This window comes from Homo sapiens, chromosome 13 (assembly GCF_000001405.40).
Source record: "Homo sapiens chromosome 13, GRCh38.p14 Primary Assembly".
Lineage (NCBI taxonomy): Eukaryota > Metazoa > Chordata > Mammalia > Primates > Hominidae > Homo > Homo sapiens.
The window spans coordinates 51,171,392-51,188,715 of record NC_000013.11 but is presented as its reverse complement, the minus strand read 5'-3'; the positions used below and the strand labels follow the sequence as shown (position 1 = coordinate 51,188,715).

Sequence of the window (17,324 nt, the reverse complement as noted above, 5' to 3'; positions counted from 1 at the left end):
GCCCAGGCTGGAGTGCAGTGGTATGATCTCAGCTCACTGCATCCTCTGTCTTGGGTTCAAGAGAATCTCCTGCCTCAGCCTCCCGAGTAACTGGGATTACAGGTGCACACTCCCATGCCTGGCTAAATTTTGTATTTTTAGTAGAGACAGGGTTTCACCATGTTGGTCAGGCTGGTTTCGAACTCCTGACCTCAAGTGATCCACCCACCTCAGCCTCCCAAAGTGCTGGGATTACAGACATGAGCCACCATGCCCAGCTAGAAAATTCTTTATGACACAAAATTTGTCTCCCTGTTTCTTCCACCAACTGGACTTGGGACCACTGAGAACAACTATTATGCCTTTCTCAACAGGCTGTTCTTCAGATGTTTGAAGTTAATGGTCACGTCTTTCAGTCTAGTCTTTCCAGAATAAATATTTTTCATTGCCTCATTGTTCCTTGTATAATATGGTGTGAGACCCTTCCCACCCTCATCTGTCTCTGAGCACCCTTGCCTGTCAGAGTACTTGTGAAGGTATATAGCCTTCAACCATTCAGAGTGGGGAGAGCAATGATTGTTCTGTTGTTTTAGATTTTATATTTTTATTAATGTGCCAAGACCACGTTAGTGCCTGGGAAATTTCTTATCTAAATATTAATACACCTTAAGCTTACTATAAAAGAAAACTTCCAAGTTCTTTTCATGAAAACTTTACATCTTCTTTATGCCTACTTGTTCAGCTGGTTTTGGCCTCAAATTTTTAATGTAAAAAAATTTTTCAGTTTTATATTTTTCATGAAGTCACCATGTCTGTCTTAATAGCACAATAGAGAAGCAGTAAAGAGTAGTGAATGCTCACATAAACTTTAAAAAACTTTTATATTTAAAAGTAAACCAGATGCAAAAGAAGCTACAAAACAAATGTTTGCTTAATGACTTATAAGACAAACAATCAGGTCAAGAAATAGAATTTCACCAGTCACTCCAGAAGCCCCTCCATAAGGTCTACCCTAGTCTTAATCCCTGCCTCCCCAATAATACACCACTCTGTTTATATGGTAAAATAAGCTAACCTGGCAATCAATCATGTGTAATATTTAAATACTTTTATTATCTAAATGTACATCAATAGACAGTATAATCTTGTCCATTTAAAAAATTAACAGCTGTTAAGTCTCTTAATCTCTAGTTTTCCCTCCATCTCTTCCTCTTAAAATTTATCTGTTGCATTTGACCTGAATAGTTATCTACAGTGTGGATTTTTAAATTACATAATCATAGCTTGAGTCAACATCTTCCTCCATCCTGTGTATTTCCCGCAAATTGGTAGTTGGAGCCAAAGTCTTGATCAGATTCATGCTTAATCCTTTCTCCTAAGGCCGTAGGCCGTGGTGTGTTCTGTGGAGAAGAGGCACATAATGTCTGGTCATTTCTTTCTGTAGTTGCAGCTCTTGATGCTCAATGCCTTGATTCATTACTTCCCTGGGATTTGGAAATAGTGAAATTTTAATTCTATTATTTCTTGCAGTTTATTTAGTGTAAAACTCTTTATAAGGAGACACTTCACACATCTGCAATTTGGTTATGGAGTGGACTAGTTCATACAGAAAGACAGGATGATACTTTTTTCTTTCCATTTATTTAATAGTTTTCAAGATGAATTGATTTTCTATCATTTTCTGAAGGTGAACAACAATTTGGGTTAAAAAATGTTATTATAAACTCATTGATTTAATGGGTCTATGATTGCAATTATCCCTTTGAAGCTCACTTGTTCCTTCTTTGGCCAGTGGGAGCCTCTTCAAGTCAGTTTCTCAGTATTTTTGACATGGCCCTAGTAGTCTTTGATAGCCTCCTTGCTATCTGGTATAACAAAGTGCATCTTGTTCATTTTCTGCCTCGGACTTGGAATCAGTCACTTCCTCAAAGATATTCAAGCCTCTTTGGGTAGAAAGGGTATTTTAATACCATAATCTGGGTGTTTCTAGGCTCTTAGTAGGCAGAGTTAATACATACCTCCGACAACTCTATGCTATGTAGTCTTATGAATTTATATCGATACTTTTAATTAAAATTCAGAGATGTAAGGTTTTTTCTTAATCTGTTATATTACTTCTGTATCTTGTTTTTCCATACTGAGAATCTAAGAATCCTGGTTCTCAAGGACTTGAGGAATAATCAAATTAGAAATTTCATAAGTATTTATTTTCTTTTTTCCTCATTGCACACACAGTCTAAGATAAGAATATCTACAGTAATACTGTTCTACCACCACCAGTTAAAATTGTTTTTGCAGATGTGCTCCCTATCATCCTCTACTCTTTGCAATTATATAAAATCTATGCTGCCTGAACATGTAGACATTGTATGTTGTTCTCTTTCCTTTTTATCCTAAATATAATTTAGCTCTACAAGTAAATGCATATTTAATATTCACCAGTCCTTATTTTGATGTTTCTCAATCAAATTTGAAGTTCATTCTTTAGTATATTCTTCAGTAAAGGCTCATGCAAATAGTATTTCCTAAGTTCTTGCCATGTCAAATAGTTTATTGCCCTTATATTTGAAAGTCAGTTTAGCTGGTTATATAATAATTGGTTCAGTTTTCCTTGAGTGTCTAAAATCTGTTATTCTACTTTCTCTGGCATATGTATTGCTGCTAAAAATTCTGGAATTCTGATGGCAATTTACTTGCCATCAGAAATATACTGGTTTTATCTAGATGACTGCAGTGTTTTTTCTTTCTCTTTAAAGTCTAGTAATTTTACTGAAACATGACTTGATGTTGGTCATTATGGGTCATTATTCTCAAATACATGGTGGCCCCTTCAGTATATAGTTTCAAACATATCTTTTAATTTTAAGAAAGTTTTCATGAATTATATTTTTTAGTATTTATTGTGTTTTTTTATTTTGGGTTTCTTCTTCTGGGATTCCTATTACCTATAAAATGGATCCTTTGCCTAATTTTAATATTTGTTATTTTTTTTTTAATTCTTTTTATCTCTACATTTCTTTTCAATTTAAAAAATGTATTCTTGTTGTCCTTCCATTTCTCTTACACCATCACTGTTGTGATGCTCTGTGTTGCTTCTAGTTTAGTCTGCATTTCTGAAATGATTTTTCTCATTTATTTTCCCCGAGTTCTGTTACCTCATTTCTGAGGTGAAGGGTGTACTTGTTGGCTCTTACAGCTAAAAATAAACTGCCCCAAGATGTCATTTTGAGAAAAGAGTTGGAAATGAAATGGATTATCTCAAAGGAAAAAAAATATTGAAAGGGACTTACTTAAAACAGGTTAGAGCATATTACAATAACTGATTAAGATCCCCGTGTCACTCACCGGTCTCATCTTCCCCTATATTTCTCCACTGAGTAGGAGCTCAGGAGATAGATAAACCAAGGCTACGTTTCCTTTCACATCTGACTAATTGTCTGTAAAGTTTTAACCCTGCTGATCTAGGGCAGTTCCTATTCTGGAAAAAAATTGAAGGAAGAATTTATACATAGGCTCTTTGTCAACACTCCAGTCCCAACATCTACACTGAGCATAAAGAGACAAAGTAGAATTCTGAAATGGTTTGAGTTCACTCTTATTATACCAGTCAATTTATTTTTTTAAAAAATCTTTTATTTTGGAATTCTGCCTCTCCTGACTGTGGGTAAACAAGATGTTCTAAAACAGAAATGATTACGCGTTAGAGGTAGTTTTGGGGAGACTCTTTATAGTTCAACATTATTAAAAGAAAGGATATCTCTTTTCTGAATTACTCTGTAAAAGTACAAAGGGAGGATTATGACTAGAAGAAATGAGACAAGATAAGAAGCAGAGTAAGATACATAAAAAGGCAAACACTTTCGTACTGAAATATTCATTTAAAAACATTGGCTATGTAGATATTTATAAGTAGTTTATTTTCTATACAGTTTCTGTGCAGTTATGACAGTCTCTAATTGCTTGATTTCAGTTATTATGCTTGTCAAAGCCATATACTATTTTTCTGCAACAATCACTTGTGGTATTTTTAGTTTCCAGAGAGAATATAGCCCAAAGTTGAACAGTCCAAAGCAAAAAGGTACAAATTGGAAGATGTTGTTATGTGGGATCAATCCATACAAAATTACATCAGATTATACCAAATAGAAATACCTCAAATTTTACTTTGGCCTCCTCTAGGGAAATTAAGGAATAAACAAAATCAAACATATAATACATTTTCACTGAACTCTATGTGCAAATTATTATACTAAATACAATGGGATAAATAATATGTGAGATGACTAATTTGCAAGTCAAAAAGAAGACAGATCATTGAAGAGAAACTCTTTCTATTAAAGTTTATACCGATTTTCAAACTCGGTGTGCGATTTACTGATTATAGAAATAAAGAATTGGAGATATAGATTATGATATAAGGGTGATTTCCATGTCACCAAGAATGTACTAATCTAAAATGAGGTAGAAGAGAAAGTAACTATGCATTTTTGAAATGTTTGTCATTTGTGAATTCAACGAGCATTTATTAACCTGACTTAATATGCTCAGAAGAGCATATTAAATCTGAAGATATATTTGTAGAAGTCTTTGGCATGTATACAGTAAGTGAAGATATGATATTGTCAGAGAAAGTTTGTGGAGCAAGAAAAGACAAAAAGCAAGCTTCAAGGAACATCAACATTTGAAGACTAAACAGCGTAAAAGCCGGAAAAGGAGACTGGAAGCCTTGGCCAGAGAGGAAGAAGGGAACAGCAGAGCATAGTGCCAAAGAAGCCCAGCAGAGCTTTTCCTCCGAGTGTCAAATTCTGCTGAGAGTTCAGTCAAGATGAGGTTAAAAAAATGCCCATTGGATTTAGTGGTAAGGAAGTCACTGATGAATTTGAGGGAAGCATTTTTTGATGAACATGTCTGTGGAGAAGCTTGGGCATCTGTATTTTACAACATTTCACAGATGGTATGAACGTCACTCATCTAGCCCCCTCATGTGATACTTTTTGGAAATTTACCCAGCTCTCTGATTCACTGTTTCTTGGACCACTCCCTTGCGAATGCCACCACAAATAATGCCCCATATTTGGGGTCCATTTAAGTTTCCTGGATATTACATCTGAATTGGCATCCCAAGGTTCTACTTGTCAGGGAGAGGAATAAGGTACAGGAAGAAGTTAAAGATATCTTAGGATCCAGCTAGGTTGACAAATTAGATGGTGAGGCCATTAACCAAGATTTGAAAATAAATAAAGAAGGGTGACCTAACAAGAGCAAAGAGAAAGACTATAGTCCTCAAAGAGTTTGGGAAAAGGTGAATTACAGAGTAACTATTTTCTAATATGTTTCCTGGGTAGGGGATGCCGTAGCAAATAGACAAATCTAATCTGTGGACTGGATTCATCCTTGTAATGGAGAAGTATGATGCATTGAAGTTACCAACGCTTAGCAAGTTTGACATACCTTCATATACTACCTCCTTTTGCTCTGATTCTCTATTTTACCAAACAACATTTTAATTAATTAATTTACTTAAATGATGAAATATGAAATACTTACTTATGAAATTATAAAACTATGAAATAAGTAAATTAATCAGGACTTACCTGATTTTTAAAAATTAGTAATTTGGAGAAAAATGATATTATACTGTTGTTTTAATTTGCACTTTTTTTGCTTGCTAGAGAGCTTGCAAATTAGTCACACATTTACTAGTCATTTCTGCTGCTTTTATTACAAATTCTGTGTTCATGCCTTATGCTCATTTTTCTATCTAGATTTTAGTATCATTCATACTGATATATTTCATAGCATTCATATATTAAAAATTAATCCTTTGCCACATTAACACCAGTATTTTTGTTGCTTAGTATTTAACTTGCATTAAACTTACTGTTTAACTATTTTATATCAAGTTTTTGAAATTTTAATATAAATGAGTATCATTTTTTTCTTTTCATTTTAGGATTTTAAGCTTAGAAAAACAATTTCCTCTTCACAAATAAGATACATATTTGCCTACTATTTCTTCTTGTTATGTTTACATTTTAAGATTTATCTCAGTTCATTTGCAGCTTATTTTAGTATGTGTTATAAAGTGATGACCACTATTTTTCTCAATCACTGAGTTTGCAGATTATTTACAGAATATATCCTTTACTCGTGTGGTTGTGGAATGGAATGGAATAGAATGCCACTAGGAGAGCAAACCCAAATGAATAGAGAAATCTGCAGCAAAAGCACCATGAGAAGGTATTCATGTGAACCCCTACATACAAGTATGTGAGAAGGTATTCACATGAACACTCAAATACAAGTGAACTATGCATAGTAACCAAATCTGCTTATTATCAGAACCTACCTATAGATGAAAAAGAAGGGAAAGCAGAGGGGTTTCTGACAGATCAAGGATGAAAAGCCTCGAAACTGCTAACAGGTTTTCATAGGAAAGTGCAGCTGGCTGGTCTGAGAACAGAACTTCAGGAGCACTTTGCAACCTCCAATTTACGGGTGAGTGTTAGAGTGGATTGGACCCCATGGACTGTCAAAACTAACAAAGTGCAGCCCCCTTGTAGGACAAAACATGCACTGAGGAGAAACTGCTGGACATAAGAATCCAAATTGAGCAGGATGCAGACAATAAGTGCAAAAGAAAGAACATATCCTAGATTTTGTTTTCAAGGAAAACAAAGCTGAAATAAGGGCTTATGGGCAGATGGTTTATTTGGGATGGGATCCAAAGAGTAGGAGAGTGGTGCTAGTGAAGTAAACGAGGAAATCTAAAGAAGGGTGCTTAACTAGTTGGCCACCCCCATGGGAAACCTGGTCCCAATGCCACCAGAGCTTACTGAGGAATTTATTGTGATTTTCTTTGTGGGATATGATATGATCAATTTTCAAGTGTGTTTCAAGACACTCTTCAGAGATATCTGGAGTGATAATTCGTTTCTCAAAAATCTTCTGTTAGTTATTGTAAGCATCTTTAGCAACTGCTATCACTGGATTATTTGATCAGAATTATTTTTTGTCATGAAGCCTGTTGAGAATGTTGGAAACTAGTGCCAGATTATTAATAGATTTGTTTGGGCTGGTGGCAGTGGAGTGGGGAGGGCTAAGGTCAGGATGCTGGAATTAAGAGATCGCTAGATACCACATTCAGTCTCTGACAATTAAAGCAAGCAAAGGATTAAAGATTCAAGCAAAATAATTTAAAAGATGGATATATATAATATAGACAGATAAATTCAGTGTATTATACATCAAATTAAAAATTAATAACAAATGTTTCTAGTATTGGTCTTTTAAATATATTTTAATGGATATTTCACTTGGAAGTTTGAAGAGTGAAACAGATACTGATAATATGAAATGGCAATAGCCTAATAAAGTGCTGATTATTAATTAGGCTGCCAGCCAGGGATGTCAGTGCTAAGGAGGATTTGCCCTGGCTACACAATTACATATGATATAGATAGCTAGATTGATATAGATATCTATGTATATATATTTATATGATTACATATACTTAAATGATGATTATTCTGGTTTACAGATTTACCATGCATGAGTACAAACGTTGTGAACTAATTATCACATTCACAATCACCCCTGGGGCATTGATCCTTGAACCCTGGATACCTGTTAGGGAGGTTCCCACCCTTATGATTACCACAGAGATGGTCGTGCCCAGAGAGCCATCTGCTTGTTTTTTTGTCTCTTTCTCATCTGAGTGCTCTGTTGTGGAAACTCCAACACTTAGGGTCTGGAGACATCATCAAAAATATCATTTAAAACTTTATTGGCTAATAGACAGAGATGGTACAGTCATAAAATTCTGTTTTCATGCAAAGGTACATGCTTTGCATGTAATAATTTACTTTTCAATTTTTCAGTGCAGTCTCTACCCTTTTATACTCAACTTCTGCTGGATATAGGGTTGGCTTTTGTCATGATTGTTCAAAGAATTTAACTGAGTGTAGTCCTTTTCCAACCTTATTCATGAAAGGTACCTTTTAGAAGCTCTCATAGTTCAAGTGAGTTGAAGCCAATTGGCTGGTGTGTTTTTTTGTGTAACTCTTTCCTTCCCCATTCAATTTAGGTCTTGAGCATTCAAATGCAGTCAGCTGTTCTTTGTTTAGTAAGATTTCTGGAGGAAATGATTGAAGGACTACCTCTGGGCAAGAAGATGAGGAGTTCAGTGGGAAGGACTCAGATAGATGGATTTGGCACAATCTTCTTTTGGAGCAGAATTTAGGGTTTTACACAACAATCTAAATATTACTTGGGGATTAACATGAAGATTGTAAATAGAAATGTAGAGAGCCTGCGCTGTGTGGCAGGAATGTCATTGCTGAGTAACAATAATGATCTTTATTGGTTCCCTTAAAACATGTAGCACTGAGTCATTCTGGGCTTTCAGCCCTGTAAGCCTGGATAACCCTGGGTTCGTAGTTCCCTGGACCATTCTTCCACCTGTGAAGAGGAAATCTTAATCATGACTGATAGCTTTCCTAATCACTCTGAAGACTGGGTAACAGACATTTTTCAAGGAGGCCACAAAGGTCCTTAACGAATTTTAAAATCAAGAAGTGAAAATCTTCACTTGTTCTCCTACCCAGGATTCAGCTGCAATGTGGGCAAAATGGAAATGTGGCCTCCAAGACACGGAGTTGCCTCTTAAGAATACTTGGTAGATAATTCTGCTGAGGGGGGCATTCTGAGCCAGCGTTAGGGAAGGTGCCCAATAATAATACATTCAGCCCTCCCTGTCCATGGTTTCTGCATCTGCAAATTCAGCCAACCATGTATCAAAAATATTCGGGGAAAAAATAATAAAATATGCAACAATTAAAAAAACAAATAAAAACAATATAATAGAGCAATTATTTACATAGCGTTTACATTGTTTTAGGTTTTATAAGTAATCTAGAAATGACTTAAACAGGAGGATGTGTGTAGGTTACATGCAAATACTATGCCACTTTAAGCAGGGGACTTGTGCATTTGCAGATTTTGGTATCCGAGGGGGTCCTGGAACCAATTCCCTCATTAATACCAAGTGACAACTGTAGTAGCAACATCAAGGATGATAGCAGCTACCATTTATTAGACATATACCATGTGCTAAGTGCTTATAAAAATTGCCTTTAATCCTTCCAACAAGAAATACGTTAGTTTTCACTGATACTTTACAGAGAGAAACAAACTCGGGAGGTTAAATAACTTTTCCCAAATCATAGTAATGATGTGGATACTAAGCCAGGTTTGTCTGGAATGAAAGGTGAAGTTCCTAATCCCTTCTGATTAGGGATAAATACTAAGGGATATATACTTATGATTAGGGTTATATCCTTCTGGTAGGATATATACTAGCCTCTATCCATTGAATTCATATCAGGTGCCAGATATTATACATGCATTTTTTGCTAATTTGGCAAAGTAATATTACCACCATCACCATTCATAGATAGTGGAACAAAGAGTCAGAAAGGATTTATAATTTGTTCAAGGTCACATAGCTGGTGATCTGGAGAATTTGGATTCAACTCCGGGTCTGTGTCCTCCAAGACCCATCCTTTTCTCACCGAGGTATAGTGACTGCCCATGGGCACTCCTGGGTATTAAGAGAAGTGTGTTCACTGAAGGGAGAGTTTTTCTGGTCTTCCAGATGAACCTGGAACTTAATGTCAATTTTATTTTTCCAGGAAAATTCATACAAAAGAAAAAAATATAGCACATCTCTTGGAAATGAAATACTTCAAGTTTAATATCTCTCTTGCTAATGCAGAATTTATCAGCCAAGACAGCTGGCTGGCCTGGTGAGGCACTGGACTGCAAGGAATTTTGAAAGCTTAGCATTGTTGAAGGCATGAGAAGTCAATCTAGGAGCTGAATTTCACAACATGTAAAGGGAACATTTGGAGGGGTGATGGAGAAGTCACCTTCAAAAACAACATGTAGCTCTGTGGTTTCAGGATGTTGGCGTGTGTCCTATATTCTATTTAATAATGACCCCGTAGGGTGGTCCTTGGGTTGAGCCCAGTGCTGCTTGACCAGGTGTGGGCACTTCGTCAATCGACTGCTGTGTGGGAAGCCTGACTTCTTCCCCAGAGGTACCCATTTCTACCTAGGAATCACATGTGGACATTCTAATTATACCATGGAGAGGTGATTAACTCAGGACAAAGATAGGGTAAAATAGACCCCTGAGAGCAGAGGCAACTTTGTGAGAGGGGGACATTTTCCTAAACATATTGCCTCTTTTTCAATAAGCACTGAAAGAACTCTGAACTTTGTGGCTGCCCTTTCATTACTTGCTGTTCAGCAAGGGGACAAGCAAGGGACTGGAGACTACTGTTACTCAGCTTGTCACTTGGAAGTTAATAAGCCAAGTGAGTGTCATTTGTGGGAGTTCTAGAATTTCCTGAGCGCAAAGGGGCAGACTCTGGTCAAAGTTCAGGATAAGAGCAGAAGAGAGATGTGGCCTAGTGATGGGTGTCATTGTGAGGCTGGGAGACTTTGATTCAATAAGCTTTTCATTTTTCTTTTTCTTTTTTCTTATTTTTCTTTTGAGATGGAGTTTCGCTCTTGTTGCCCAGGCTGGAGTGTAATGGCCTGATCTCGGCTCATTGCAACCTCCGCCTCCTGGGTTCAAACAATTCGCCTGCCTCAGCCTCCCAAGTAGCTGGGATTACAGGCATGCGCCACCACACCTGGCTAATTTTGCAGTGGGAAAGGACTCAGATAGATGGGTTTGGCACAATCTTTTTGTATTTTTGTAAAAATCTTTTGTATCTTGTAAAAATCTTGTATTTTTAGTAGAGATGGGGTTTCTCCATGTTAGTCAGGCTGGTCTTGAACTCCCGACCTCAAGTGATCCTTCCACCTCGGCCTCCCAAAGTGCTGGGATTACAGGCGTGAGCCACTGCACCCAGCTATTTTTATTTTTTCAATGGGCTTTTTAGGTATTACCTTGTAGCAGGGGCATCTGAGTTGGGAAAAAGACTCTGAGACCTCTCCACCAAGTAGAACAAACAATGGGATTACAGGCCCAGGTCATGGAGGCTTGAGACATTCAGTTTAGTTCCAGAGAGTTTGGAGAATGCAGCAGACATGTGACTACAGCATGTATAGAGGTAGACACTGGATTGGAAATGTCAATCTTTGAAATCTAGTGTAGGGGACAAAGATGGGTTAGAGATCTATAGAAAAGGTATGTGAGTGTTTATGTGTGTGTGTTTGGTGGGAGCTGCAGTCTGAAATAATGGCACATGGATTTGGCTATTCAGGACAGTTGGGAATGTGGAAGGTGTGGGGGTTTTGTAGTTCATTCCTTTGCACTGTCTGCATCCTGGAGGACAGGTCACTTCCTCCTGCTCATTGAGTTGTAGTTGGTTGTTTGCTACACATTGTCATTTCACTTCTTCGGGGTTTATTTCATTGCTTGGTATCTATGTTTGTACTAATTGAAGTATCTGGCCATTAATTAAAAACAAGCAAACAAACAAACATGTAATGCCATAGATTCATATGGGAAAACTGAGGCTGACCAAAATTTGATGGAGCCAGTAGATGGTAGAACTCAGACTAAAACTAGTGGCTCCTGACTTCATGTTTTGTGACCTTTTCTGTGTTCAAGGGTATATCTGCTCACCAGCATCTAAATGTAAACCAAACACAACTGTCTATTATTATAACTTCCCCCTCTAGTCTTCAAGTTATATTGAACCAGTTTTTCTGTAAGACAGACATAAAGCTGCAGACACAGCCACTTTCCCTGAAATTAAAAGAATTAGTTGCTGTGAAATGCAAACAAAATTCAGAGCTGGTTGGACCAACCATGGACACTTGCCAAGCTTCTACTATACGTAAGGTACTCTAATATGGTTCCAAATTTTCTGGGACAATTCTTCGAGTTATATAATTCTTCCACATTTTTACTCCTCTGGTATCTATTGAGCTGACTTTTTCCCATATGCTTATTGCTCTTTTATATTTATTTGTTTGTGAATTTGTATATCATTGCTTTTACTTTTCCTATTGCATGAGGTCTGAGTTACCGTTCGCTGAATAGTTGTTAATGCTTAGAAAAATTAAAGACTTTGCTTGTGCTACTAAGGGGCTGAGCTGGCACCTGGCCTTGATTCTCTTTGATTTCAAAGCCACTATGTTCACATCCATATTTTCAGGACGTTCCTAAAAAAAGGGACATTCACCCAAAAGGTTAAAAATTAAATGAATGCAGCATGTGCTTCTCTAATACACATTACTTCATCACTGCATCTTAGAAACGATAATATCTACCCTAACAGGCCCTTGGATGTTGCTAAGGTTTTTTATTTTCAAAATTTCTTAATTTCATATATTTCTTTGAATGCAAAATTATTAGCTTTTGAAGGTGTTCTGTAACCAATAAGGGTTTCCCACCAAAATGTGTTATTCTTGTGTTTACCTAAATTCCTTTGAGAGAATACTTGATCCTAAAGAGGGATATGGGGAGAAAATATAACCTTCTGAAAAAAGAGATTTTAGTTAAGCTATAGCCTTGGTCATGGTGGCAGAGATCTGAAATGATAGTTGATTAAACAAGATAGAGATTTCTTTCTCTTTCATGTCATAGTTGGTATATTAGTTTGTTCTCACATTGCTATAAACAACTACCTGAAACTGGGTAATTTATAAAGAAAAGAGGTTTAATCAGCTTACAGTTCCACAGGCTGTACAGGAAGCATGGTTGGGAGGCCTCAGGAAACTTACAATCATGGCAGAAGGCAAAGAGGGAGGAGGCACGTTTTACATGGCTAGAGCAGGAGAAACAGAGAGAGGAGGAGAGGTGTTACATACTTTTAAACAACCACATCTCATGAGAACTCATTCACCATCATGAGAACAGCAAGGGGAATGTCTGCCCCCATGATCCAATAACCTTCCACCAGACCCCTACCCCAACATTGGGGATTACAGTTCAACATGAGATTTGGTCAGGGACACAAATTGAAACCATATTAATTGGTGTGTAAGCAGCCCAGGATTTGTAGGATGGCTTCATGGCATTGGTAATGAGGACCCAAATTTAAACCATATAATTCCACCCCAACCCCTCCCAAATATCATGTCCTTCTCACACTACAAAATACAATAATCTCTTCTCAACAGTCCCCTAAATTTTAACTCATTTCAGTGTTAACTCAAAAGTCCACAGTCCAAAGTCTCATCTGAGACAAGGCAAGTCCCTTCTGCCCATGAGTCTATAAAATAAAAAAACAAGTTAGTTACTTCCAAGATACAATAGGGGCACAGGCATTGGCTAAACACTCCCATTCCAAAAGAGAGAAATCAGGCAAAACAAAGAGGCTACAGGCCACGTGCAAGTTCAAAACCCAGCAGGGCAGCCATTGAATCTTAAAGCTCCAAAATAATCTCTTTTGACTCCATGTCTCACGTCCAGGCTACACTGATGCAAGGGCTGGGCTCTCAAGGCCTTGGGAAGCTCCACCCTTGTGGTTCTGCGGGATACAGTCCCCTCGACTGCTTTCACCGGCTGGCTGGCATTGAGTGCCGGTGGCTTTTCCAGAAGCACAGTGCAAGCTGTCAGTGGATCTACAATTCTGGGGTCCGGAAGACAGTGACCCTCTTCTCACAGCTCCACTAGGCGGTGCCCCAGTGGGGATTCTGTGTGGGGGACTCCAAGCCTGCATTTCCCCTCCACTTTGCCCTAGTAGAGTTTCTCCATGAGGACTCTTTCATGCGTGTCCGTGTGAAGAGACCACCAAACAGGCTTTGTGTGAGCAACATGGCTGTTTATTTCACCTGGGTGCAGGCGGGCTGAGTCCGAAAAGAGAGTCAGCGAAGGGAGATAAGGGTGGGGCCGTTTTATAGGATTTGGGTAGGTAAAGGAAAATTACAGTCAAAGGGGGTTTGTTCTCTGGCGGGCAGGAGTGGGGGTCGCAAGGTGTTCAGTGGGGGTGCTTTCTGAGCCAGGATGAGCCAGGAAAAGGACTTTCACAAGGTAATGTCATCAGTTAAGGCAAGGACCGGCCATTTACACTTCTTTTGTGGTGGAATGTCATCAGTTAAGGTGGGGCAAGGCATATTCACTTCTTTTGTGATTCTTCAGTTACTTCAGGCCATCTGGGCATATACGTGCAAATCACAGGGGATGCGATGGCTTGGCTTGGGCTCAGAGGCCTGACATTCCTGCCTTCTTATATTAATAAGAAAAATAAAACAAAATAGTGTTGAAGTGTTGGGGCGGTGAAAATTTTTTGGGGGGTGGTATGGAGAGAGAATGGGCGATGTTTCTCAGGGCTGCTTCGAGCGGGATTAGGGGCGGCGTGGGAACCTAGAGTGGGAGAGATTAAGCTGAAGGGAGGTCTTGTGGTAAGGCGTGATATTGTGGGGATGTTAGAAGAAACATTTGTCATATAGAATGATTGGTGATGGCCTGGATACGGTTTTGTATGAATTGAAAAACTAAATGAAATAACAGAAGGAGAAAAACAGGTATAAAAGGCCTAAGAATTGGGACAACTCAGGATGTCTGATTAGAGAGTGCCTAAGGAGATTCAGCATAGTCCTGCCAGCAAAGATTATTTATGTACTTCAAGAGTTAAGAGTGGCAGTTTGGGGATAGCACCAGGAGATATCAGCTGTGATGGCTTGGAAAAACAGTGTAAACTGGCAGTGTAAACAAGAGCAGGGCATGTATGAGTAGTTGAGAACGGTGAATAGCAGTATGACTAGACAGAAAATAGTAGGGATGACAAGTTTTTTTTTTTGGGATTTTTTTTTTTTGAGGCACAGTCTAAGTTGGTCTGGTGTCTGGAATGAGACTGGGGCCTAATAAAAAGGAGCATCTATACAGGACCTTAAATGGGCTGTACCCTGTAGCATTCTGAGGACAGGCCTGAATTCTGAGAAGGGAAAGTGGTAAAAGTATTGTCCAGTCCTTTTTAAGTTGGTGGCTGAGCTTGGTGAGGTGTGTTTTCTTGAAGATGGAGGACTATAAGGGATATAAAGGTTTCACTGAATACTAAGAGCCTGAAAAACTGCTTGGCTGATTTGACTAATAAAGGCTCGTCTGTTATCAGACTGTATTGAGGTGGGAAGGCTAGACTGAGGAATTATGTCTGACAGAAGGGAAGAAATGACTGCGGTGGCCTTCTCAGACCCTGTATGAAAGGCCTCTACTTATTTTGAGGGCCTCTATAAGTATTAAAGCAGCGGCAGCCGCTGCACGCAGACATGAGGGCTAGGCTAAAACAGTAAGGTCAAGTTGTTTGGACAGAAAGGCTACAGGGTGTGGTCCTGGCTCTTGTGTAAGAATTCTGACCGCGCTAACCACGCCTAGGAAGGAAAGGAGTTGTTGTTTTATAGAAGGTGCTTGGGTTTGAGAGATCAGTCGGACGCGATTGGCAGGGAGAGCACGTGTGTTTTTATGAGAATTATGCCGAGATAGGTAACAGATGAGGAAGAAATTTGGGCTTGATTGAAGTAATGGGGGCTGTCTGAGAAGCTTTGCGGCAGTACAGCCTAGGTAATTTGCTGAGCTTGATGGGTGTCAGGGTCAGTCCAAGTGAAAGCAAAGAGAGGCTGGGATTAAGGGTGCAAAGGAATAGTAAAGAAAGCATGTTTGAGATCTAGAACAGAATAATGGGTTGTAGAGGCAGGTATTGAGGACAGGAGAGTATACGGGTTTGGCACCACGGGGTGGATAGGCAAAACAATTTGGTTGATAAGGTGCAGATCCTGAACTAACTTGTAAGGCTTGTCTGGTTTTAGGACAGGTAAAATGGGGGAATTGTAAGGAGAGTTTATAGGCTTTAAAAGGCCATGCTGTAGCAGGCGAGTGATAACAGGCTTTAATCTTTTTAAAGCGTGCTGCGGGATGGGATATTGGCGTTGAGTGGGGTAAGGGTGATTAGGTTTTAATGAGATGGTAAGGGGTGCATGATCGGTCGCCAAGGAGGGAGTAGAGGTATCTTATACTTGTGGGTTAAGGTGGGGGGATAGAAGAGGAGGACGCAAAGGAGGCTTTGAATTGGGAAGAAGGGCGGCAATGAGATATAGCTGTAGTCCAGGAATAGTCAGGGAAGCAGATAATTTAGTTAAAGTGTCTCGGCCTAATAAGGGAACTGGGCAGGTGGGGATGACTAAAAAGGAGTGCTTAAAAGAGTATTGTCTAAGTTGGCACCAGAGTTGGGGAGTTTTAAGAGGTTTGCCTGGCCGTCAATACCCACAACAGTTATGGAGGCAAGGGAAACAGGCCCTTGAAAAGAGGGTAATGTGGAGTGAGTAGCCTCCGTATTGATTAAGAAGGGGACGGGCTTACCTTCCACTGTGAGAGTTACCTGAAGCTCGGCGTCAGTGACTGTCTAGGGGGCTTCCGAGGTGATCCGGCAGTGTCAGTCTTCAGCCGCTAAGCCGAGAAGATCTGGGAAGGAGTCAGTCAGAGAGGCTTGGGCCAGAGTTCCAGGGGCTCTGGGAGTGGCTGCCAGGTGAGTTGAACAGTCCGATTTTCAGTGGGGTCCCACACAGATGGGACGCGGCTTAGGAGGAATCCCAGGCTGCGGGCATTCCTTGGCCCAGTGGCCAGATTTCTGGCACGTGTAGCAAGCTCCTGTGGGAGGAGGTTCTGGAGGAACGCCTGGCCGCTGCGGTTCAGGCGTTTGGAAGTTCTTGTGTGCTGGAGACGTGGCTGGGGTTTGTCTCACAGTGGAGGCAAGGAATTGCAACTTTTTTCTATTATGGTACACCTTGAAGGTGAGGTTAATTAAATCCTGTTGTGGGGTTTGAGGGCCAGAATTTAATTTTTGGAGTTTTATTTAATATCGGGAGCAGATTGGGTAATAAAATGTATATTGAGCATAAGACGGCCTTTTGACCTTTTAGGGTCTAGGGCTGTAAAGCGTCTCAGGGTTGCTGCCAAACAAGCCATGAACTGGGCTGGATTTTTATATTTGATGAAAAAGAGCCTAAACGCTATCTGATTTGGGGTAAAGAAAAAGGAGCATTAACCTTGACTATGCCTTTAGCTCCAGCCACCTTTTTAAGAGTAAATTGCTGGGCAGGTGGGGGAGGGCTAGTCACCGAACGAAACTGTAAGCCCGACCAGGTGTGAGGAGGGGAGGTGATAAAAAGATTATAGGGTGGAGGAGCAGAGGCTGAGGAAGAATTGGGACCTAGCTCGGCCTGGCCAGGAGCAGCCTGGGGAGGAAGGGAGAGGTCAGATGGGTCTGTAGAAAAGGAAGATTAGAAAGACTCAGCGACGCTTGGGGTTGGTACTGAGGGGACAGGCGGGAGGGAAAGAAGGAAGATTTGGGACGAGTTGCACTGGTCACAGAGACTAGGAAGGGACT

General features: G+C 39.5%; 1 protein-coding gene across 2 annotated transcripts in view, besides 2 other annotated features; it reads left to right on the top strand.

Moving 5' to 3' along the window:
• Window positions 13,053–13,971: an enhancer, noted in NCBI's record as "OCT4-NANOG-H3K27ac-H3K4me1 hESC enhancer chr13:51748881-51749799 (GRCh37/hg19 assembly coordinates)". NCBI's record gives its function as "activates a minimal SCP1, AML or CMV promoter by ChIP-STARR-seq in naive and primed H9 embryonic stem cells {active_cell/tissue: H9 hESC(naive and primed)}" and the evidence as "EXISTENCE:reporter gene assay evidence [ECO:0000049][PMID:30033119]".
• Window positions 13,972–14,891: an enhancer, noted in NCBI's record as "OCT4-NANOG-H3K27ac-H3K4me1 hESC enhancer chr13:51747961-51748880 (GRCh37/hg19 assembly coordinates)". NCBI's record gives its function as "activates a minimal SCP1, AML or CMV promoter by ChIP-STARR-seq in naive H9 embryonic stem cells {active_cell/tissue: H9 hESC(naive)}" and the evidence as "EXISTENCE:reporter gene assay evidence [ECO:0000049][PMID:30033119]".
• C13orf42 (chromosome 13 open reading frame 42) overlaps window positions 16,328–17,324 on the top strand; it is a 90,270-nt gene continuing 89,273 nt past the window's right edge. Inside the window, exon 1 of one of the 2 annotated variants that reach the window (NR_102431.3) lies at window positions 16,328–16,463. The gene's annotated coding sequence lies outside the window, so the exon portion shown is untranslated. Of the gene's footprint in view, window positions 16,464–16,493; window positions 16,729–17,324 lie in introns of those variants that run through there. The other variant, NR_102432.3, reaches the window with a different exon arrangement.